General features: G+C 39.3%; 1 protein-coding gene across 19 annotated transcripts in view, besides 3 other annotated features; it reads left to right on the top strand.

Annotated features, from left to right (window-relative positions):
- The window catches only part of PPP4R1 (protein phosphatase 4 regulatory subunit 1), a 70,406-nt gene that overhangs the window by 40,689 nt on the left and 4,603 nt on the right, over positions 1-25,114 (top strand). For 14 of the 19 annotated variants that reach the window (XM_047437976.1, XM_047437973.1, XM_011525776.2 and 11 more), the window contains 6 exons: positions 5,828-6,354; positions 12,961-13,133; positions 14,436-14,531; positions 16,907-17,092; positions 19,129-19,290; positions 23,089-23,189. In XM_047437976.1, the coding sequence (XP_047293932.1) occupies positions 5,828-6,354; positions 12,961-13,133; positions 14,436-14,531; positions 16,907-17,092; positions 19,129-19,290; positions 23,089-23,189 (1,245 nt within the window). Of the gene's footprint in view, positions 1-5,827; positions 6,355-12,960; positions 13,134-13,464; positions 13,590-14,435; positions 14,532-16,906; positions 17,093-19,128; positions 19,291-23,088; positions 23,190-25,114 lie in introns of those variants that run through there. The other 5 variants (NR_052003.2, NR_168403.1, NR_168404.1 and 2 more) reach the window with 4 other exon arrangements.
- Positions 1,260-1,770: an enhancer, noted in NCBI's record as "OCT4-NANOG-H3K27ac hESC enhancer chr18:9574739-9575249 (GRCh37/hg19 assembly coordinates)". NCBI's record gives its function as "activates a minimal SCP1, AML or CMV promoter by ChIP-STARR-seq in naive H9 embryonic stem cells {active_cell/tissue: H9 hESC(naive)}" and the evidence as "EXISTENCE:reporter gene assay evidence [ECO:0000049][PMID:30033119]".
- Positions 1,771-2,281: an enhancer, noted in NCBI's record as "OCT4-NANOG-H3K27ac hESC enhancer chr18:9574228-9574738 (GRCh37/hg19 assembly coordinates)". NCBI's record gives its function as "activates a minimal SCP1, AML or CMV promoter by ChIP-STARR-seq in naive H9 embryonic stem cells {active_cell/tissue: H9 hESC(naive)}" and the evidence as "EXISTENCE:reporter gene assay evidence [ECO:0000049][PMID:30033119]".
- Positions 6,219-6,401: a silencer, noted in NCBI's record as "fragment chr18:9570108-9570290 (GRCh37/hg19 assembly coordinates)". NCBI's record gives its function as "represses an EF-1alpha promoter that drives an FKBP-Casp9 reporter gene in an ReSE screen in K562 erythroleukemia cells {active_cell/tissue: K562}" and the evidence as "EXISTENCE:reporter gene assay evidence [ECO:0000049][PMID:32094911]".

The raw sequence follows: 25,114 nt of genomic DNA, 5'->3' as shown, positions 1-25,114 counted from the left end.
AAGGAAACCAAAGTTTTAAATAAAGCTTAAAGAGTCGGCTGTGATTTTTATTTTTAAATGTTTTTGCATTGAAAATTTTCTATTAAATTTAAATTTTAAAAATTTATTATAATATATATTTAGGGGAAAAACTAATTCAAGCCTAACTTACTAGTATGCGGGAAATGTACACAAACTTTTACAGTTATGCACTTGAAGTAATTTTAGTACAAATATTTGAAACAGTCCCTGCTATAATGCTTGAGTTACCATAGTGTCTTTTCCCTCCCTTGTCATGATGCTAATGGACATTTTCTTCTGTAGGTCTTGATACTGTGCTATTTGCTTTCTTGGTGTTTTGATTTGGCAGTTCTTCTTTCTTCTCTGCTGCCTTGTTTTACCTTTTTGCCCGTTCTCCTACTGTCCTGCTGAATAGCCAAACAAACCTGAGGTACTGTTTTTTGTAAAGGAAGAAAATCACTCAAACCTGTCTTCCTAGCAAGCAAAGTCTGTCAGTTTTTTTGAAAACAGGTGCTGCCAGGACTTTGACAAAAGTGATGATGGTGGGTGGGGAATGTTATCTATTTTTCATTTTTGAAATCAGCATACTTAAAAAATTACCTGTTTATACTGAAGACTGTTACATAACTTCTGTTTTAAAATCTGAAATGGGTCTAGTAAGAAACTATAAATTTGCAGAGAACTGTATAGGACGAGCTGGTAAACTTTCTTCTGTTTCACAACTACTCACTCGGCCTTTGCAGTGTATAAGCAGCCGTAGACATTACATAAATGGACAAGCTTGGCTGTGTTCCAGTAAAACTTCACTGACCTCAACAGTGTGCCTATCAAGGCCATGTTTGCCGCCTACCGGTGTGTAGCATTACTGCAATAGCTATTTAAAGGTAGTTCAATTCCTTGATTCTTCTTCCATTGTAATGAGGTATGTCTTAATGTCCAGGCAATACTACTTGTATTGCTGATCTTCAGTAATATTAGAGCTTATTAAATTATGTTAATGATATGGTAGGGGAAAGAGAGCATTCCTGGCTAAGGAAGGAGTTATGTTAAATATTGTAAAAGCTTTTGCATAGTTTGACAAACTATAAAGAAGTAGTCCTATATATTATTAAATCTCAGAACCATTAGTTTGTTTGCCCTCCCTTAAATAGCACAGTGGCATTTGTTTTAAGCTGTCTTAAACTGTTGTGGTATTAAGATTGATTGATTGATTATGCAAAAGTTAACTGAGCACCTCCTATGAACCAGAAACTGTAAATGGAAAGATAGAACTTCGTTCCTGTCCTCAAAGTTCTCTCAGTTTCTTAGATTCAGGTTTTTCAAACAAATGTCTTACAAAGTAAGCAAGTTTTTGGCAACATATTTCCACCACTGTTTATTGTATAGTGTTTCATCTGACCCTAGAAACATTTACTATCACTTTATTACTCTTTGAAGCATTTATTGATTCCAAACATCTGACTTACACATCAGATCTTTCACTCACCCTGGATCAGGCTGTTAATGCTTCTTTGAAAGTGCTGATAAAGCCTACTTCTCAGAAGCAGAGTTGAAATACTCAAATCTGCATTTTAAAAGTATGTAAAATAAGCATTCGTTATCACATTGTTCTCTGAATGCACCATGTTCTCTTAATTCTCCCTGTTTTTGTACTTGCTGCTCTCTGGGAAGCTTCTTGTTCCATCCATACCCTCGTTTAACAAAGTGCTGTCTTAGATGCACTGAGTTGTCCAGGAAGTACAGAGCTTTTGTCTTCATCATCAGTAGCGCTGTAATGAGAGCACTATTTTAATCCTATCCTTTTGGCTACATATTGGCATCTATCATCCAGTAGCCTCCCGGCCATGCAGTGTGGCGTCCAGCTCCTCCCTTTGTCTCCGCTGGGCCTGGCCCGTTGGTGCACATATTAATCCTGAATGAATTATTCTAGGGAAATATGGATTTGACCTCAAAAATCTGAAGTAACTAAACCACTTTTGCTGGATTTTTCCAGTTTAGCTTAATGCTAACTATATGAAAAAAAATTATTAGCACAAATTTGGAAATATTTCATGAATGCTAAAACTTCATTGAGTTAATTCACAGTACTTGGAAGGTATCCTGGAGCGTGTTTGCTTTTATCTCAGGATACAATACCTCTTTAGCCAGATGTTCTACAAGTCATTTTCTCCTTGAAATACCTGTAATTAATTTTCTAGGCCCATAGTCTCTACTAAGGAACTCTGAAGATATTAATTATAAACTTATGTAGGCACAAAAAGACACTTAAGATTCCTCCTTAAGTAGGTAGTTTCTGGACTGTCCTCTGGTGCTCTTGATACCTACGTCTCTTAGGAGACAGGATAATTCCCATTATACAGAGTCACAAAGGGCCTCAATTTTCAAAAAAAAATTTGTCTTGTACAATAGCATTTCAAAGTCTGACAATTAGGAATATCAGAATTTTAGCATTGAACAGCTTGATTTTGTATTGACTATTATACTTTACCAGGAAAAATTAGAATTTAGAGAATTTATACTTTCGACATTTTTGAAGCCATGCATGCTGTAGTTCTGTCCACAATTTAATACTGTACTAGGGAAACTTTGTCTTCTAGTTTCCTTTTAAAAAAATCATTCTAAGAGTTTTAAGTTTGGACAAACTAACAAGTTTACATTTATCAGACAAACAGTTATTTGACCAGTCATTCTCCGTTCATTTTTGCAGCTGAGAATATTAAAATTTAATTTTAACACCAAGGTGAGCTAGTGATCAAGGAACTTCAAGGCCCTGTAATTCCATCACTTTAGGAGGCTGAGGCAGGAGGATCGCTTCAGCCCAGGAGTTTGAGGCTGCAGTGAGCTATGATCATACCACTTTACACCAGCCTGGGCTACAGAGCGAGACCCTGTCTCTTAAAAAAACAATAAACAAAACAGAAGTTCATTGTATTTATTAGATAGTACATACGAGGTCTTACAAGTTTTACCCATTTGCTCTTCTCTTCCCCCTTTCTGAACAATATCTTATTATAATTTTAAAATTTTAGTTTGAATGATTTCAGAAATTTTGCAAGGATATCACAAAGAACTTCATATATCCATGTAGATTTTCCAAATACTGTTTTACCATATTTGCTTTATTCTTTTTTTCTGAACTCTTTGAGAATAAGTTTTAGACATGATATTCTTTTTACCTTTTTAAAATACTATGTATTTCTTTAAAACACAGATGTTAATATATAACTGTAGTCCAGTTACCAAAATTAGGAAATTAACATTGATACAATACTGTTAGCTAATCTAGCCTTTATTGAATTTTACCAATTGGCCCACTAATGTTCTTTATAACAAAAGGGAAAAATACATATTTTTTAATATGGACAAAATGGGAAATACATAATTCATAAACATGTAGAAGACACATTTATTTTGCATAACAGCACTAGCTTCAGGAGCTCCTTTGGAGTGGGAAAACATCTTACAGGTTATCTAGGCCAACTCCTCATTTTTATGAATAAGGAATAAGTGAGGAATCCTAGAAGTCCTTAAAAGGTTCAGAATTTTATATTAACGTAGTGCCAGTGCGAGAGTAAGAACGTTAAAGTCTGATTTCTTCACACTTGTAAACAATTGTATTATATATGCATACTGTATATTTTGTAGTTATAAGAAGAAAAATACCAGAATTTAAAATGCAGTCACAATGTGTTATGTTTTCAGATGACTTACGTATGTTTTTGTTCATCAGTATTTTAAAAAATAATCACCTGTTTGTGAAAATAATGGTTTTGAAAACAGCATTATGATGAGAGGGAACTTCGTAATTTCATGAGAATGTAGATGGTGACTGTTTAAGTGGGAGCTCACATAGGCATTAACATCACCCTCCTTTTGCACAGTCCTTTTAAGTCTCCTGTTAAACATCTTTTATTGTGTGTATTTAAAGGCACACAGATGCTTTTTCCTGTATTCATCTTACAAATTTACCTACATATTCAGCCATCCTTATTTCCCTTTCATGTTTCTTGGGAAGCAAGTCTCTTCACTGTTTAATCTGTTTTGCTGTGTTTTTGAAGCCCATATTCTTTCCTCTTCTCAGAAAGACATTGCTTTATCAGTTATTTCATCAATCTCTGTGTCTCCAGTTCTTTCATCTCTTCTAACCTATTTTCCTCAGCCTAAAAATATGCTCATCATTCTTTTATACAGGAAAAATGCCTTCACTCTTTGTTATTCTATGCAGTTGTGTTATTCTTTATTAATACTTGTTGCCTCCGCATATGTCAGCCCCACACATCTTTCTGAGTTGATGACCTCCACCTCTGTCTCAGTCTTTACCTCTTTCTCATAGATAATCACCACCTAGAACCCAACGTGGATAGCTAACTCAACCTCTTTCAACCTGAACCTGTTAGCTTTCTTGTGAAACTGTTTTTGTTACCTGCAGCATGCAATAAGTGGAAAAGTCCTGTTGATTTTTGCTGCTGTTTGAATGTGTTCTTCTGTAGTCCTGGAGACACTGCCTCCATCAGAACATCATCACTTCTTACCTGCATGTCTGTAATTCCTGCCTCCTATCTTACCTCTCAACTCATTTTCTACACTTCCTCCAGAATGGTCTTTCTAAAACAACAGATCTATTAACAATTTCCTTACTACATGATTTCCTGTAGTCCAGGATGAACTCCGGAGGTCTGCTGGTCTGGAATACAGTGGTTCATGTGATATCTTTCATCCTTGTCATCCATCATTTCCTCATTGCTGATTCCTGAATGCGTCACACCTTTTCTGCCACTCCGGCCTTTGCATGTCCTGTTTCTCCTTTAGATGCTTTTTTCTTCCCCTTAGCCCCATAAACATGTATTGGTTCTTCTAAGCACAACTCATGTCATTTCCTTGAAGGCCTTTTAATCTTCACTCCCATCTCCTCCTGTGTTCAGTGTGCTTGCATCTGTGCTTACCACCCTGTCTAGCAGCAATTTGCTGATATATCTTCATTTTTTCTGTTTGCCTCTAATTGTAATCTCAAGATCAAGAGCTGCATCTCATTCACATTTGAATCCTCAATACTGATTTCATTTCCTGGCTCTTAGTAGGTGCTCAATAAATGCCTGTTAAATTTAATTGAATCAAATAATAACACTTACAGTCGTACTTCAGATAATAGATGGCAGTAATCAGTGGACTTTAATGAATTTGTACCATCTGTCCTTATCAATTAAATTATGTCCTCATTTTAGGAAAACCTTGGGGAGTAGAGATGAATATTTTAGAAGAAACAGAAGTAATATTTACACTCAAGCAGATTTTAATATATTTTGTGAGATAGCAAATAAGTATCTTTCCTACTACTATCTTAAAATTGTTTTTATTTTATTTTCCTTGTGTAATGTAAGCAAATAGGCTTTAGGTCTCAGCTTTGCAATATGTCGTTGGAGTAGAGAGGTAATACAAATAACCCTAAAAATAAAATAATTTAAATGTTGTTATGTATCTTAAAATGATTGTAGGAATTTCTGTTTCCACTACTTTTCTTTAGTTATTTATTATTGAAATTAGCATGGTGTTATAGAATCCCAGGATTCTTAAATGTTACCTTCTCTAACTAATATATATTGCTTGACTATCTAGACTTATACTTAACAGGTATTTACATCTTTGAACACAGAACAGCTGATGGAGAAAGAAGCATTATAAATAATATACATAAACTCAGTTTGTACAGATAATCCGTAATTTTTAATGTTTAACTTGTCTAAATGCTATATGTAATATCTTTCATCAGTTTTTTTAAAGTAATTATCCTTTCATATTGTTTTTTTCCCACCAAATAAAACAATAAAAGGACCAGAGATCAAGAAGCCCCAGAGGATGTACAAGTCAGGCCAGAGGATACTCCTTCAGATCTCAGTGTTAGTAATTCCAGTGTCATACTGGAAAACACGATGGAAGACCATGCTGCTGAGGCATCCGGGAAGCCTCTAGGTGAAATTAGTGTTCCACTGGACAGCTCTTTACTTTGTACTTTGTCCTCAGAATCTCACCAGGAAGCAGCTAGTAATGAGAATGATAAAAAACCTGGTAACTACAAATCTATGTTACGACCAGAGGTTGGCACCACTTCACAAGATTCAGCTCTCTTAGATCAGGAATTGTATAACTCCTTCCATTTCTGGAGGACTCCTCTTCCTGAAATAGATCTAGACATAGAGCTTGAACAGAACTCTGGGGGAAAACCCAGCCCAGAGGGACCAGAGGAAGAATCTGAGGGCCCTGTGCCCAGTTCTCCAAACATCACCATGGCCACCAGAAAGGAACTGGAAGAAATGATAGAAAATCTAGAGCCCCACATTGATGATCCAGATGTTAAAGGTATGGAAGTCAATCAAGTTATTTATTCTGAAATTGATTAAAAATATTAGTGTCTATCTTAAAAAAATTTCATTTCAGAAAAAATTGTCATTTAATAATGTATTATGGACTGGGCACAGTGACTCATACCTATAATACCAGCACTTTGAGAGGTTGAGACAGGAGGATCACTTGAGACCAGGAGGTTGAGACCAGTCTGGGCAACATAGTAAGACCCCATCTCTACAAAAAAATAAAAAATTAGCCGGGCATGGTGGCACATGCTTGTAGTCCTAGCAACTTGGGAAACTGAGGTGGGAGATCGTTTGAGCTTAGGAGGTTGAGGCTGCACTGAGCTGTAATTGTGCCTAAGTTCAAATGGTGTCAAAGGATCATGCAGCAGCTTGCTCTGATAGTTCTCCAGCCTGGGCAACAGAGTAAGACCCTGTCTATTAAAAAAAGAAAAAGGTAGTATAACCATCATTATCATGTATTTCTAAATTCTCTTGATAAATACAATTAATCTGATTTTCAGGAAATTTTTTATTTAAAATAGGCTCATCGTTGCATTCCTTACTGTAATTTATACAGATTTGTTGATTGACAAATCACTCTCTTTGAAAGTTTCAGTCATTCAAACAGTGCTTTACAGTTTTAAAGTTTGGGCTCTGCCTTAACTATTTTGCACAGAGACTCATTACCTTTTTATAAGATAGCAGTACACGCAGTCATTCTTTTATGGAAAGACTATAGAATGTTTGTCGCACTACTGCACTGCAGCCTGGGCGACAGCAAGACTCTGTCTCGGGCGTGGGGGAGGAAAAGACTATAGAATGTTCACAGCAAGCATAGTCAACTTTTGATAAATGTTTAACGTCTTTACAGCTTCCAGCTTTCTGTTTAAATGTTATTATTTACCAACTTAAGTTTATTAAGTTTATCCAACTTCAATGACTCCGGTTTTCTTCTTTTTTTTTTTTTTTTTTCTGAGACGGAGTCTCGCTTTGTTGCCCAGGCTGGAGTTCAGTGGTGCTCGATCTTGGCTCACAACAACCTCTGGTTCAAGCAATTCTCCTGCCTCAGCTTCCCGAGTAGCTGGGATTACAGGCATGTGCCACTGCACCCAGCTACTTTTTTTTTTTTTTTGAGACAGTCTCACTCTGTCACCAGGCTGGAGTGTAGTAGTGCCATCTCAGCTCACTGCAACCACTGCCTCCTGGGTTCAAGCGATTCTTTGGCCTCAACCTCTCAAGTAGCTGGGACTACAGGCGTGCGCCACCATGCCCAGCTAATTTTTGTATTTTTAGTAGAGACAGGTTTCACCATATTGGCCAGGCTGATCTTGAACTCCTGACCTCAGGTGATCCGCCTGCCTTGGCCTCCCACCATGCTGGGATTACAGGTGTGAACCACTGCGCTCAGCTTATTTTATTTTTCTTAAACTATATTTTTATGAACAAAAGATTACCAGTTGTCCTTAAGCCGGTTCTGGGAGCTCTCATTGTATTATAGTACCTGCTAGTTCTCTGACATAGACTAGTCACTTAAATATTAATTGAAATATTGAAAGAACTGCTCTAAGTTTTTCTTTCAGCAAATAAATGCAAAGAAATATGCATAGATTGCTTTCTAAAAAGACTTACATGTACATACATACAAGTTTCTTGATGTGACTTTGTGTTTCAGAAGATATCTAATACTCTTTGTACTGTAAATTTACTAGCTGCAATTGAGAGACTTCAATACAAATAACAGCATACCTTGGAGATACTGCTGGTTCAGTTCCAAACCACTGCAAAAGAGCAAATATTGCAATAGAGTCACACAAATTTGTGGTTTTCCAGTGCATAAAACCACAGGTGCAGTGGCTTGCACCTGTAATCTCAGCTACCTGGGAGGCTGAGGCAGAAGGATAGCTTAAGGCCAAGAGTTTGAGACCAGTTTGGGCAACATAGCAAGACCCCCATCTCTAAAAAGATTTTGAATAGTAGCTGGGCATGATTGCACACTCCTGTAGTCCCAGCCACTCTAAAGGCTGAGGTGGGAGAATTGAGCCTAGGAGTTTAAGGTTTCAGTAGCTATGATTGCACTACTACACTCCAGCCTGGGTGAGAGAGTAAGACCCAGTCTCAGAATTTTATAAAAGTTGTGTTTATACTATACTGTAGTAAGCATGTGATAGCATTTTGTCTAAAAAAAAATGCACATACCTTCATTGAAAAAATACTAAAAAATGCTGATGATCATCTGAGCTTTACACAAGTTGTAGTCTCATTGCTGGTGGAGGGTCTTGCTTCAATGTTGGTGGATGCTGACTGGTCAGGGCAGTGGTTGCTGAAGGCTGGGGTGGCTGTGGCAATTTCTGAAAATAAAACAGCGTGGAAGCTTGCTGTGTCAGTTGACTCTTCCTTTCATGAAAGATGTATCCATAGCTAGCAATGGTGTTTGTTGGCATATTACCTGCAGGAGACATCTTTAAAAATTAGAGTCAGTCTTCTCAAACACCACCACTGCTTTATCAATAGGTTTATGTAATATTCTAGATCTTTTGTTGTCATTTCAACAATGTTCACAGCATCATCACTAGGAGGAGATTCCATCTTGAGAAACCACTTTCTTTGCTCATCCTAAGAGGCATTTGTTCAAGTTTGGTCAGGAGAGCCGGATATAGTGACCATGTGCCTGTAATCCCAACTGAGGACAGGAGGATTGCTTGAGACCAGGAGTTCAAGGCTGTAGTGGTTATGATTGTGCCTACATATAACCACTATACTCCAGCCTGGACAACATAACAAGACCCCATCTCTAAAATTAAAACAACAGAAAACGTTTGATTATGAGATTGTAGCATTTCACTCACGTTTTCAAGCTCCACTCCTAATTTTAGTTCTCCTGCTATTTTTACCCTACCTACAGTTACTTCCTCCACTGAAGTCTTGAATCCTTCAGTCATTTATGAGGGTTGAAATTACCTTCTTCCATACTCCCTTTAATGTGGATATTTTGACCTCCTCCCATGAATCGTGAATGCTCCTAATGGCATCTAGAGTGGTGAATCCTTTCCAGAAGGTTTTCAGTTTACTTTGTCCAGATCCATCAGAGAAATCACTATTTATGGCAGCTATAACTTTACAGAATGTATTCCTGAAATAATAAGACTTGAAAGTTGAAATTACCCCTTGATCCTTGGGCTGCAGAATGGGTATTGTGTTAGCAGGTATGAAAACAACATTGTCTCCTCATACGCCTCTATCAGAGCTCTTGGGTGACCAGGTGTATTGTCAGTGAGCAGTAATAATTTGAAAGGAATATTTTTCTAAGCCATAGGTCTCAACAGTGGGCTTAAAGTACTCGGCAAACCTTGCTGTAAATAGATCTGCTCTCATCCAGGCTTTACTTTTCCAGTGACAGAGCACAGGCAGAGTAGATTTAGCCTAATTCTTAAGGGCCCCAGGATTTTTGAGTAAATGAGCATTGGTTTTAACGTGTGTGTGTGTGTGTGTGTGTGTGTGTGTGTGTGTGTGTGTGTCACAGCGCCTCACTCCGTCACCCAGGCTGGAGTGCAGTGGTGCAATCTCAACTCGCTGCAACCTCTGTCTCCCAAGTTCAAGCGATTCTCCTGCCTCAGCCTCCCGAGTAGCTGGGACTACAGGCATGCACCGCCATGCCTGGCTAGTTTTTTTTGTTTGTTTGTTTAATGGGATTTCACCATGCTGGCCAGGCTGGTCTCGCACTCTTCACCTCAGGTAATCCACCCACCTCAGCCTCCCAAAGTGCTGGGATTACAGGCGTGAGCCACCACTCCTGGCCTGGTTTTAACTTAAAGTCATCAGCCACATTAGTCCCTAACAAGAGTCACCTTGGCCTTCGGAGCTTTGAAGCCAGGCATTGACTTCTCTTTAGCTAGGAAAGTTCTAGATGGCATCTTCTTCCAATAGAAGACTGTTTTATCTGTGTTGAAAATCTGGGCCGGGCGAGGTGGCTCACGCCTGTAATCCCAGAACTTTGGGAGGCCGAGGTGGGTGGATCATCTGAGGTCAGGAGTTTGAGACCAGCCTGGCCAACATGGTGAAACCCTGTCTCTACTAATAATACAAAAATTAACTGGGCATGATGGTCCATGCCTGTAATTCTAGCTGCTAGGGAGGCTGGGGCAGGAGAATTGCTAGAACCCGGGATGCAGGGGTTGCAGTGAGCCAAGATTGCACCACTGTATTCCAGCCTGGGTGACAGAGCAAGACTCCATCTCAAAAAAAAAAAAATTTGTTGTTTGGTGTAGCTACCTTAGTGGCTTAAGTAATCTTAGCTAGATCTTCTGAATAACTTGCTGCAGCTTTACCTAAGCACTGGCTGCTTCACCTTGCACTTCTATGTTATGGAGATGGCTCCATTCCTTAAACCTCATGAACCAACCTCTGCTAGCTTTCAGCTTTTCTTCTCAGATTCCTAACCTCTCTCAGCCTTTACAGAATTGAAGCCAGTTAGGGCCTTGCTCTGAGTTAGACTTCGGCTTAAGAGAACGTTGTGGCTGGTTTGATTTCTGTCCAGACCACTCAAACTTTCTGCATATCAGCAATAATGTTGTTGTTCCTTCTTCTTTGTGTGTTCACTGGAGTAGCACTTTGAATGTCCTTCAAGAACTTTTCCATCTGCATTTATAACTTGGCTAACTGGCACAAGTGTCCTAGCTTTTGGGCTTTCTTGGCTTTTGAGATGCCTTCCCCACTAAGCTTAATCATTTCTAGCTTTGGATTTAAAGTGAGAGACATGTTATTCTTCCTTTCACTTGAACTCTTAGGGGCTACTGTTGGGTTATTGATTGGCCCAATTTTAATATTGTTGAGTCTCAGGGAATAGGGAGACAGGAGAGAGATGGGTAAAGAAAGTCGGTAGAGCTGTAAGAACACACACATTTATCATTTAAGTTTGCCGTCTTGTATGGCTAGTTAGCAGCTCCCAAAACAATTACAATAGTAATATCAAAGATCACTGATCACAGATCACCATAGCGGATATAGCAATAATGAAAAAGATTGAACTAGTACAAGAATTACCAACATACAATACAGAGGCACAGCGTAAACACATGCTGTTGGAAAAATAGCACCAATAGACTTGCTAAATGTAAGCTTGCCACAGACCTTTAGTTTAGAAAAAGTACAGTTATCACGCCCAGCATGGTGGTGTGTGCCTGTAGTCCCAGCCACTCAGGAGGCTGAGGCAGAAGGATTGCTTGAGCCCAGGGGTTCAGTGCTTCAGTGAGCTATGATCATGCCTTGTGAATAGCTTTCTGCAAGTAACTCCAACTTGGGCAAAATAGTGGGACCTCACCTCTTTAAAGAAAAAAAAAAAAAGCCAAAGTGTAGTATCTACAAAGTGCAATAAAACAAAGTATGCCTGCACTTTCCAGGGAACAGAATGGATGGGGGATGATACCCCCACACACACACACACACACACACACACACACACACACACACCATGCACTTTATATGGGACAAAACATTTTAACCTTTCTTTCTTGTACAGTCTATTTTGAGTACTGTTTTGGTTTGGCTTGGGAGTGATCCCAAAAGGGAGTGGCTGAAGTGATTAAAAGGGTTGGTGAAAATTGCAGCCGAAATTCTGAAGATAATGAAAATATTCCACTACAACTTTTTGTGAGTGAATATGTTCAATTTTCTTAAGTTAGCAAGTAATGACCTAATAGACTAGAACCTCATCCTGTATGTTGCTTGTGTGTCTGTTGTCAGGCACTTAATATACTTAGATGAGAAATTTTATAAATGCTGCAGCATAATAGATTATCTTAAAATAGTTACTGATTGTTTTGTTTAAAATGTTTGAATTTAAAATGTTCACATTTTGAACATCCAAGTGGATTGTTACTTGGAATAAATGCTAAGCAATATTTTTTGCTAAATTTCTGATTTATTTGGGGAGCAGGAAGAATGCCTTATCTTAATTTTGAATCACCTTTGTAAGTAAGGTGCAACCCAAAACATAGGCAATGCTAGTTGCCAGATTTTTGAACCACTGCCTGGTAAGTTGTCCTTTTGGTTTGCTGCAAGCAAGACAGTGCTCATTTGGGATTATTGTGTTTGGGAGAAGATGCAATTCTCATTTTCAAAAAGAATTAGAGAAAAATAAGCAGTAATAAGATATGAGATGTTTAAATGTAACTGTGACAAGAATCTTTGTAATTGCCATTGTTTTATGTTGGCAGGGTTTGTGTGACTGCTCTTCTGCTAAAATAGCTTAGTAAGTAAGACTTGCCAGTTTGATTCATGCACTACCAAAACATAGTTAACGTTTACTGAAATTGACTCCTTTTAATAAGCCGGAGGCAGCTCCAGCAACTAGATAGCATTTCTCTTTTCATACTAACGCAGAATAATGTACAGTAGCAGATAAACATTTTTAATCTCATGAAAGCATATTAGTTTTCTACTTTTTCTCTTGAAGGACTAATGATTTACCACAGTAGAAATTTTTTTCCAGCTTTTTGATTGCAGTGTCAAAAAAGTATATATTTCATTGATAACGTACAGTGCAAATGGAGAACAGCCTTGTAAGAATATTGCAATTGTGTTTCTCACTTTGTCCATTTCCTTATTTTGCCTGTAGCACAAGTGGAAGTGCTGTCCGCTGCACTACGTGCTTCCAGCCTGGATGCACATGAAGAGACCATCAGTATAGAAAAGAGAAGTGATTTGCAAGATGAACTGGATATAAATGAGCTACCAAATTGTAAAATAAATCAAGAAGATTCTGTGCCTTTAATCAGCGATGCTGTTGAGGTAACAAACTCAGTAAAGTGTTTACCAAATGAGAGTAGTTTGAATCAGAAGTCTTTCATTGGGGAATAGTTGTAGCTAATCACTTTTAGTTTGTATGTTCTGTTTGTTGCTGATTTTTTAGCTCTTCGTTTTGCATAAAGTAATTGTTTTCATCACATCCTGTCCTCGTGACATTAGTGTCATATGAAATGCCTGGAAAAGTAAATCCCACTTCTGTCTATATGACCATTTAGTAGACTCAATGTTAATGTAGCTCACTGCAGTGAAATAGTCTTACTGGAAACAAAGCCCTTTATCAAGAATAATTAACTCTTCCCTTTTCTTTTTGGAGAGGTGCTTTGTTTCTGATCGGACCATTTCACTGCAGCAAGCAACACAGTATTCTGAGCAGAAGATCGGGACTTGAGGCCATGTTGCGGAGGGCCAGTGACATTATCTGGACTCTGGAGTGTGAGGGTGGGTACTGATCCTAGCATCATCTTCACTGTGTACTTGTAGCTGTTCTCTATGATCCTTCCCTAATTTCCTGCTGCATCTCCATCAAGCCAGCATTATTTGGTATCAGTGCTGCTTAGCCATTGTTTATACAAATGGGGAGAAGGAATGCACCACCGATTGCCAGAATCGCATGGTCACAGATCATAGTGGCTTGAATGAGAAGCTCAGGAAAGAGTACCTGCACACACTGGGGATGGCAGGAGGGTTCTTAGAGCTTTAGTGCATTTCTGTTTTGATTTCTGTTGGATGGCATGTGGTATAGTTAGAAATCTGTATAATACCACTGCTTTGGATTGAAGCCCTGACTATTTATTGGAGATTTGAATAGTATTAATATATCTGCATTTTAGAAGGTGTTTATGTTGTTGTTGTTGTTACTGTTTTTGGCTGTTAACATATATATAATTTGTGAAATTAGATATTAACAGCCAAGAATAGAAATAGAAGAAAAACTGCATATGACACTCCATGGTCTCTAAAACAATGGACCAAAAGAATCCTCTCAGTACTATTTCATAAATAAGCTAATTTGAGCTGTTTGGACCATTTCAAAATTACTTTCAAATATTGTTTTTAATTACTCTAATTTTTCTGGAATTGGTTTTCGTACACTTGACAACCTATTCAGCAAGTTAGATTTAAAGTAGGGTAGGTTCTTAGGTATGTTTATAAGCTTTTAAAAACATGAGGAATTTATATGTTTATTACTTTTGGCAGTCTTGAAAGGTAAGTAACTTAGTAAGATAGCTTAAATGAAGATGTACAGACAGGACAGCTCTTTAAGTAGTTATTTTTTCCTAACAGAATATGGACTCCACTCTTCACTATATTCACAGCGATTCAGACTTGAGCAACAATAGCAGTTTTAGCCCTGATGAGGAAAGGAGAACTAAAGTACAAGTAAGTGACCAAAAAATGTGTTCTTTTGTGGGTGTGTTCCTAATTCCTCTTTTAGAGCCCATTTCTGACCTAATTTGCCCCTTCTTTATGATGAGTGTTCTAAAAATTGACTAGTGTGTCATATTTTCCATAAGGAAATCGAAGTAGTAGAGAGAGGAACATGGAAGCACAAATCTTCCCTTTTCTACCTCTGTGATCCCATTCTTCATTCAGAGTGACCACGATCACACACCTTATTATCTTCCTTCATGTATTTTCATGGGCACATAAACATACACATGTGCCTCTTTTTATCATTGAAGACAGCTGTGGTCATCCCATCCTACCTAGGTATTTCCTCTTGTTCACATTGCCAATAATTATAAAATACAGCTCGATTTCAGAGATGAAAATATGAAAAAATACGAAAATTTTAAAGTGCCATCAGTAACAAGCTGCAGGGAAACTGTGCTCACGGAATCATTGAAATGTGGTAGCTGTGCCTTGCCTTGCTCTTTTCTTTTCTCTTCTAACAATCTGACCTGGTGACCTCTCCTGTGAGCACACCAGGACTCCTTCACCTTCACAGCAGCACAGCACAGTGTCCATGCCACACCCGTGGTCTCCATCGTAAGAAGGCACTGTGGGAGATGCTACTCGTTGTAGTTTCACTTTGATGCTATAAGCAGTGCTGCATTCACCATGACTGTCTGTACGTGTTGTTTGCTTCTATGACTTTATTATTATTATTATTATTATTATTATTATTATTATTATTATTAGAGATGGAGTCTCACTCTGTCACCCAGGCTAGAGTGCAGTGGCACCATCTCAGCTTACTGCAGCCTCCGCCTCCTGGGTTCAAGCAGTTCTCCTGCCTCAGCCTCCCAAGTAGCTGGGACTACAGTTGCGAGCCACCATGCCCAGCTAATTTTTTGTGTTTTTAGTAGAGACAGTGTTTCGCCGTGTTGGCCAGGCTGGTCATGAACTCCTGACCTCAAGTGATCCGCCCACCTCAGCCTCCCAAAATGCTGTGATTACAGGCATGAGCTACCGTGCCCAGCCTTAGGATTATATTATTATTGTTAGAAGTAGATTTCCCAGATCAAATGGTATATTTATTTTGTTATTGTTGTTAGAGATGGGGTCTCCGCTCTGTCACCCAGGCTGGAGTGCAGTGGCGAGATCACAGCTCACTGCAGCCTCGAACTCCTGGGCTCAAGCATTCGATCCTTCTGCCTCAGCCCCCCAAGTAGCTGGGACTACAGATGTGCACCGCCACATCTAGCCAATTTTTACTTTATTTACTAAAAATGAAATCAGTATTCAAAACAATAGTGTTTTGAAACATGCTTTTCCCCACTTACAGACATTTTCAGTATTTCAAATCTCATTTTAATGAGTTTATTTCCATTTTCATTTTGTGTATATGGATAATTCGTTTATGTAGCTCAAAATTCAAGATACTTAAAAGGCATTCAGTGATGTTCCCCTCTCAGTTTTTTCTTCTCCACTCATCCATTTTGCTTCCTGAGATACAACCAGTTTTACCTTTCTTTTATATCCTTCCACAGCTATATTTATACACACCTAAGCAAGATTGCAAATATGTTCTTCTTTTCCTCACATATATACTAATAATTAGACATGTGCACTTCAATTTTCTAGAAATAATTGCTTAAATTTTCATCTAAAGAAGACAAGTTTTTATTTTTGTTTTGAGACAGAGTCTCACTCTGTCGCCCAGGCTGGAGTACAGTGGTGCTATCCCAGCTCACTGCAGCTTCCACCTCCCTGGGCTCAAGTGATCATCCCACCTCAGCCTCCCGAGTATCTGGAACTACAGGTGTGAGCCACCATACCTGGCTGATTTTTTAATTTTTTGTAGAGACGGGGTTTCACCATGTTGCCCAGGCTGGGCTCAAGTGATCCACCCTCCTTGGCTTCTCAAAGTGCTGGGACTACAGGTGTGAGCCACTGTGCCTGGCTGGTTTTTGTTTTTTTAATGAACATGTTGCAAATCACGCAGAGCACCTGTTATTCTGCATTTGCTGGGTTATAACAAACATTGTCATCTCTGCCTACATTTAAAAGGCTCTGGTGTTATTTTAATATGTCTTTTCAATTTAGTAATTAATTCTAATTTTCCTTTGAGCTGAGATGTTATTCATTGTTCTCCTAGAGTTGCTTTTATTTGTTCATATATGTTTCCCTTAGCATGTTTTTCGTATCTCTTAGTTATTAGATACCTGAACATTTGACATTGGTTTTTCTCAACTATTTGAGATGCTATGTTAAAATCTATATATTTAAAAATAATTTTGCCCAATTTATGTCTAAACTGCTCAAAATGCATCTCAGCTGCTCAGTCACTGTGGTTTCTCTTTCTCCATTAGGATGTTGTACCTCAGGCGTTGTTAGATCAGTATTTATCTATGACTGACCCTTCTCGTGCACAGACGGTTGACACTGAAATTGCTAAGCACTGTGCATATAGCCTCCCTGGTGTGGCCTTGACACTCGGAAGACAGAATTGGCACTGCCTGAGAGAGACGTATGAGACTCTGGCCTCAGACATGCAGGTGAGTAAAGCAGTTAAAGAATTAGCAGAACGTGCATGTGGAAGGCACAGTGCTTTGCTTTTTGTAACCTAAAGAATTTCTGTTCATGTTCTAGCATGTTCTTAGTGTTATAGGAAATTATGTATGGAAGAGCTTAAGAGTAATAACAGAGCATGTTCTTTTTGCAGTGTCAGAGTCCCACAATTTGGCTTCTTCATTTTTATCTAAAGCATTAGAAATTGTTATCACATTCAACATGCCTACATTCCTAACTTAAAATGTATTATTATCTAGAGTTTATATGTAAATTAATTGTTCCGAATATAGGATTTAATTTTTCACCTAGAAATAGTATTATAAATGCTTATTTGATTTGCACAGTAGATCTGAAAATATTTGTTGAAACCGTAGTAGAACTCCAGTATTACTAGCACATGTGAAGTTCTGGGCCCTGCATGCCTTGAGCATTGCAGTACAGACAGGAGAAGTTCCGTGGTTCTTGCTCTCTCCTCATCCCCACACACCACCCCCAACCCCTTTCAACAGAACACACAAGGTAAACCCTTGCTTCACGTCATTTTGTCTGGACATCTGTGACTTTTGTGTGACCTCTTCCCAGGCTTGATGACCTGACCTCCCCTGCCAGGGCTGATTTCTGTATAAACAAAGTTTGCCCCTCTTTGAACACACCTGTTCCTTCAGTGAAGTTGATCTCTCAGTTATTTAAAAAAAAAAAAAAACAGTCTGATTAGGCTAATTTGTACTGAAATGTGATGACTTTTCCTTAAACTTCTTAGTAATTGTATTTTTCAAGGAATCAGTGCTGTTGACTCAGCAAGTTATAAGTTGGAAGTAATCTTGATAGGTCAAGTTCCTCCTTTGACCTATGAGGTTAGGAAAGCTGGGCCCAGGGGAAGTGAATTTATCCTTAACCAGGACCCAGAAGAAGTGAATTTATCTGTGTTCATATACTTTTTAAGTGCTGCATCTGGTCATGGAACCACAAAGGCCCAATTTCCATAGAGTGCTTTGTCCTGTGTATTCGTGTTTTCAGTCTTTATTCTACAGAACTGTAGGGTTCCCGTGGGATGTATCTTTCGGGGCACCTGGGTGACTCTGATGGCTCAGAATCTGGATGGGCAGTTTCTTCTCTCTGCTGCCCCCCTCTTCCATCAGAACATCTCTGCCTTCATCTGTCTTATATGTTGAACTTGGGCGTAAAATTTTATTTCAAGAGTGGATTCTGGGGGGAAGGGAAAGGAAATACAGTGTTTGCTCTAAACTGTTTCTCTTTAGGTAAAATTTTAAGTTACTATGTAAAAATTTTATGATTAAGGCACCATGGAGAAAAGGATGTTTTTAACTTAAAATTATTATAAATGCAACACATTTCTGTTGAGGGTTTCTTTTCCAAGGCTGTATGCTGATTTCCCTAGTCTTATATTTCTTAAATTGCCAATTCCTTAAAAACAAATTTTATTGTTCTGTTTTGTTTTTCTTAATCCAAGGTTTGGCTGTACAGGAATCTGAAGGGGAACAGTAAACCGGGGAGGGTGCTAGAGATCCTTTGGTCCATGTGCAGCCTCAGTACGTCGGCATGTTCTAGCATGTGCTTAGTGCTACAGGAAATTATGTATGGAAGAGCTTAGGAGTAATAACAAAGCCATGTGCAGCCTCAGTACGTCGGCATGTTCTAGCATGTGCTTAGTGCTACAGGAAATTATGTATGGAAGAGCTTAGGAGTAATAACAGAGCATGTTCTTCTTGCACTGTCAGAGCCAGGGTCCAATGTTCAGAGAGCTACAAAAACTTCACGATTGCTAAGCATTTTCTCCTCATAAATGAAAGGAAGATAATACGTACTAGGCAGGGATTTAAAATGTTTCTGTTACACTTTTCGATGCATAATTTAGGCATTTAAAGTTAGTATCTGTTATTCTGATTTAATTTTTTGAGGTTAGTAACATTCATATATAAATTAGCCTTTGTATATTGCCTAATGGTTAAAGTACTGCGTACTTTGTGGTTAGCTTACTAATGTGTTTTCATTTCTGCAGTGGAAAGTTCGACGAACTCTAGCATTCTCCATCCACGAGCTTGCAGTTATTCTTGGAGATCAATTGACAGCTGCAGATCTGGTTCCAATTTTTAATGGATTTTTAAAAGACCTCGATGAAGTCAGGATAGGTGTTCTTAAACACTTGCATGATTTTCTGAAGGTAACTTTTAAATTTTTTTGCATAAAAACACAACAAAATTCTGCCGTAATCTAAATCTTTATCTTCTGCTATCACCAAGAGAGGTTTCTTTGTGTTTCTATGTAAGAAAACACAGCCATAAGTTGATGTTAAGATGCAACTTAAAAAAGAAATGGTCCCATAATTATACTCTCACTTTTAAAACAGTATTAGATGATAGTTTACAGACATTTGTATCTTTTTCTTTTTCAAAATTATTGAGTGAAATGTATGTTAAAAAAAATCATTAGCTGCAGTCATCCCTCAGTACATGCAGGAGGATTGGTTCCAGGTCCCCCATGCACACCCAAATCCATGGAGTACTCCTGTGGAACCTGCGTATAGGAAAAGTCTGCCCTCCGTGTACTCCAGTTTCACATCCGGGAATACTGTATTTTCAATCTGGTTGGGACAAACAATTCAAGTATAAGTGGACCCATGCAGTTCAAACCCCTGTTGTTGAAAGTCAACTGTGTATTAAGTTTGGAGGCTTTGTGTGGTATTTCAGGCGTCTTGAGAATTTACGTTTAGCCCTCACTACTTTGATAGAGGAGCTGTGGTCTCCAAAGTGAATAGCCCTGATTTTTTACAAATTGTTTACTCCTGGAGTACTGTTGTTGTTTTTAGACTTTAGCCTTGAAATTGACTCTGGTAATTCTAAGGCTTGAGTGATAGAAGTAATTGTAGTCCTCCCTTTTAAAAAACACTGAGGCTGGGCACAGTGGCTCACGCCTGTAATCCCAGCACTTTGGGAGGCTGAGGCGGGCAGATCACTTGAGGTCAGGAGGTTGAGACCAGCCTGGCCAACATGGTGAAACCTTGTCTTTACTAAAATACAAAAAATTAGCTGGGCGTGGTGGTAGGCACCTGTAGTCTCAGCCACTCAGGAGACTGAGGCAGGAGAATCGCTTGAGCCCAGGAGGTGGAGGTTGCAGTGAGCCAAGATCATGCCACTGCACTCCAGCTGGGGGACAGAGCAAGACTCCATCTCAAAAAAGTAAAAAACAAAAACATTGAGACCATTTTATATTTTATGTAGATCATATTCGGAGTCTCGCTCTGTCACAAGGCTGGAGTGCAGTGGCAGGATCTTGGCTCACTGCAACCTCCGCCTCCCAGGTTCAAGCAATTCTCCTGCCTCAGCCTCCTGAGTAGCTGGGACTACAGGTGCGTGCCACTAAGCCCGGCCGATTTTGTGTTTTTTTGTTTGTTTGTTTGTTTGTTTGTTTTAGTAGAGATGGGGTTTCACCGTGTTGGCCAGGATGGTCTTGATCTCCTGATCTTGTGATCCGCCCACCTTGGCCTCCCAAAGTGCTGGGATTACAGGCGTGAGCCACCATGCCTGGCCTAAAATTTTTCTGATTGTCCCAGTATTGTCCTTTATAGTTTTTCTCCGCTCAATTTTGAATCCCTTAAAGTGCATATTAAATTTAAATGTTATCTTTCTTTAGTCCTCTTAAATCTAGGTGTCACTGGCATTTTTGAGGAGTCTAAACCAGTTGTTTTACAGAATTACCCTCAATTTGAATTTACACAATTTGATTCTGAGTAAGCGGGGTTTTTTTGCAGACATGTTAACCTGTGTAGGTTGTCATGTATTTTTCTGAATGTGCCACATCAGGGCTAATGTGGTGTTGGCTCTTCCCATCATTGGTGACGAGAAGGCTGACAACTCCATTGTAAAATGACCTTTTACCTTTTGTGGTTAATAGAGAATTGGTGAGGTGATACTTTAGAACTCTGAATATCTTTTTCTCTAGAGTCCTTCACCAGTGCTCTCATATCCAGGCATCTATACATGGTTCTTACCTGAATCAGTTAACTGTGTTGGTTGTGAAAGAGTGATTTTCTATTTTCATAATTCTTTCTGTTTTTTTTTAATTAATTAACTTACTTATTTTGAGACAGGGTCTCACTCTGTTGCCCAGGCTGGAGTGTAATGATGCAATCATGGCTCACTGCAGCCTCCACCTCTCCCAGCTCAGATGATCCTCCCACTTCTGCCTCCTGAGTAGCTGGGGCCACAGGCGCACCACCACGCCCAACTGAGTTTTGTATTTTTTGTAGGGATAGGGTTTCACTATGTTGCCCACACTGGTCTTGAACTCCTGGGCTCAAGTGATCTGCCCCGCCTTAGCCTCCCAAAGTTCTGGGATTACAGATGTGAGCCACTATGCTGGGCCATTCCTTCTGTTTTTATTAAGTAACATTCCCATGTAAAAATAACCTGTGCCTTCTCTCCTTCCCCGGTTTCGAAAGTTATTTTAGTATTAGTGGGGACTCTAGGATTTTAAAAATTCAACATAATGGAATCCATTTCTGTCATTTGTTTTGAGCATCAAATTTGACTAGTGGAGACCCCTTAAAGCTGCCTCTTGTGTCCTTTGATTTGTCCTTTGATTTTTAAGTGCATCAATACTTTCAGTTTCAACTTTCCCTTTCCCTGTCCCAGCCTGGAGTCAGCTATTTCTCCAAGGAACTGTGGTCCTTTTTAGTGGAGAATGGTCCTTAGAAACTGAGATCCAGGCACTGGAAGTGCTCATTGCTCCTGGCCTGTCATTTCTTTTAGGTCTTTTCAGGAGATAGTAGCTAGGAGGTGTAGATAGTAGCTAGGAGGTGTGATGCTTTTTTTTTTAATTAAATTACTAACTTCATATTGTTATGAACTGCTTCCAATTCAATACCGTTTTCTCTCTTCACTTTATATATTTTTTTCTTTTTACTCCTGGTAAAAAGTCTGTTCTTAGTAACATTAATGTGTAATATTTAGTTGTGGCTGGGCACAGTGGCTCACACCTGTAATCCCAGCACTTTGGGAGGCCAAGGCGAGCGGATCACCTGAGGTCAGGAGATCGAGACCATCCTGGCTAACACGGTGAATCCCCGTCTCTACTAAAGATACAAAAAATTAGCCGGGCGTGGTGGCATGCGCCTGTAGTCCCAGCTACTCGGGAGGCTGAGGCAGGAGAATCGCTTGAACCTGGGAGGTGGAGGTTGCAGTGAGCCGAGATCCCGCCACTGCACTCCAGCCTGGACCACAGAGTGAGACACTGTCTCAAAAAAAAAAAAAAAAAATTAGTTGTTTGCTGAGTTCCACAACATAAATGAAATAGTTTCAGAATTACTCCACCAATAATAATTCCCACATCAAATCAACTACATAATATTCAGGACTTCCTAGCACATTCTGTCCTTAGAACGTCCCTTGAAGATGTATGGTCAAAGTAGTCAGTTCACACTTTGGCTTTTTTCCCTGTGTGATTGTTTTCCATCTGATGCACAGTTAGGTTGGTTTGCTTCCGTTTATAAACTTACCTTTAAATATTTATAGAGCAGCTATTGGGATACATTTATTTTTTTTCTCTCAACAAATACTGAATGCCTACTCTGTGCTGTCACAGCGTCACACGCAGGGCTTACACACGTGGTTAAGAGCATAATTACTGCCTTAAGCGGGGCCATGGCAACAAGGATGTCATATGAATAAAGGGGGCAAGCCCTGTAATCAGGCTGTGCCCGGGGTACTGTGGGGTTTAGCGTGGCTCATTGATAGGCACAAGGAACAAAGATTTCCAGACAAGATGGTGATTCCTGAAGGCAAATGGAATTATTCAGGGAAAAATAAACTTAATACCAAATTTTAAAACACTTAAATACAGCTACTACATTTCCTCTTCAGAAGAATTAACCATATTGCTTACAGTCTGTTTTTAAGCACTCTAGTAAAAGAAATACTGTCTGTACCTTGTCCTGGTAAATATTTTTATTTTGTTACTTTAGCTTCTTCATATTGACAAAAGAAGAGAATATCTTTATCAACTTCAGGAGTTTTTGGTGACAGATAATAGTAGAAATTGGCGGTTTCGAGCTGAACTGGCTGAGTAAGTTCTAACAGTTTATTAGATTATGTTTTGGAGGGGTATATATTTACTTCATTTTTACATTTTCTCAGTTTCTTCATTACTTTGTGTAGATCCAAGTTTCTATGTGGTATTCTAGCCCTTTAACGCTTCCTGTAATATGTGTCTTACTGTCAGTGAATTTCCTCAGCTTTTTTATTTTTTCTTGAAAATGTCTTTAGTTCATCTTTATATTATTTTTATCATGGTGAAATACACATAGCCAAATTTGCTGTTGATGACATTTAGTCCATTCACAGTGTTGTGGAACCATTCCCTCTATCTAGTTCTGAAATGTTAACCTCCCGAAAAGAAAAACCCATGCCCAATAAGCATCTACTATCTATGGATTTGCCTGTTGCGGACATTTCATGCAAGTGGAGTCATATAACACATGGCCTTTTGTGCTTGGTTTCTTCATTTAACAATGTTTTCAGTTGTCCTCCATATTGTATCCTCTAGCTGAACCTGCCTTCCTTTTTGTGGTTGAGTAATATTCCATTGTATGGATATACCACATTCGTTTAGGGCATTCATCTGTTGAGGAACATTTGGGTTGGGGGTGTGGTCTTTTGTGAATAGTGCTGCTAGGAACGTTTATGTACAAGATTTAATATTTGAAATCTGTTTTCAGTTCTTTTGAGGTGAATTTGCAAGGCCATATGGTAATTCTGTGTTTAATTTCTTGAGGAACTGCCAAAACTTTTCCACAACAGCTATACCATTTTACATTCCCATCAGCAATGTATGGGAGTTCCAGTTTCTCTGTCTCCTCACTAACACCTATTTTTCTACTAAATTTTAAAAATATTTCTAAATTGGCCAAATAATAATTGTGCATATTTGTGAGGTATGTAATGATGTTGCAATACGTATCGGATAGTGGTCAGATAAGGGCAGTTAGCATATCCATCACTCGCTTATCATTTACAGCTGTTCTGATGGGCTTGGAACAGCACTTCATTGTGGTATGATTTGCATTTCCCTAATGACTAATGATGTTGAACACTTTTCCATAAGCCTGTCAACCATTTGTGTATATTTTGTGGAGAAATGTCTATCCAAGTCTGTTGCACATTTTTAAATTGGATTATCTTAAGTTGTGTTGTTGAGTTGTAAGAGTTCTTTATATATTCTGGATTATAGACCTCACCTGCATTTTCAAATGATGTCTTTGCTGAGTATGGAATGTGGGGCTGACAGTTTGTCTTTCAGTATATTAAAGATGCCACTCCATTGAGTTCTGGCTTGCCCACTTCTGACTCAAAACACACGCCTCCTCTTCTGCCATATAGTGCCGGGGTGTGAGTCCATCTAGTCAGGGTCAAGCTGGGTTTGCGTTTTGTGATTGCTGTGGTTACGTTCAGTGTACTTGGGGCTTCAGTTTTTCTCGCTGTGGGCTGCCACTACCATTGTCGTTTGCTGAGGGTGGCAGCTGGGGTACCAGTGGTCTTCTAGTGTGAGTATTCCACCCGGCGTTTAGCGGTACCTGCACCCCTGCGTAATGGGTGGGACCTCCTATCTGTGCTTGGTCTCGGGCAGGACTTCCTACAGCTCCTCCTGGAATAAGGAGCATTAGTTCTCCTCTCCCACAGTTGCAGTATTTTTGCTGGGCCCACAGGGTGGACAGGCTTTGGGGCCCCTCCACCAGCAGGTTAAGCCTTTTGCTTTGCACGAGAAAAGGGCCCAGCAGAGTGCTTGATGATTCATGGCTGTCAGTCAGTTGCTTCTGCCTGCTATGAGACATCTCTCCTGTTTTTCCTGACCATCTTTCTTGAAGCACCCATGGGAGGCAGGTACCCTGTGGAAGTCAGAAGGTTGTCTGGGAATGTGAGCTCCCTGTGTCGGGCACATCTGGCTTTGTTTGAGCCACCCCATGCTCCTGCCAGCCACCATCTGGCCCTGGG

This window comes from Homo sapiens, chromosome 18 (assembly GCF_000001405.40).
Source record: "Homo sapiens chromosome 18, GRCh38.p14 Primary Assembly".
Classification (NCBI taxonomy): Eukaryota; Metazoa; Chordata; class Mammalia; order Primates; family Hominidae; genus Homo; species Homo sapiens.
Note: the sequence above shows the minus strand (reverse complement) of the source record. Positions and strands in the feature narration are given on the sequence as shown.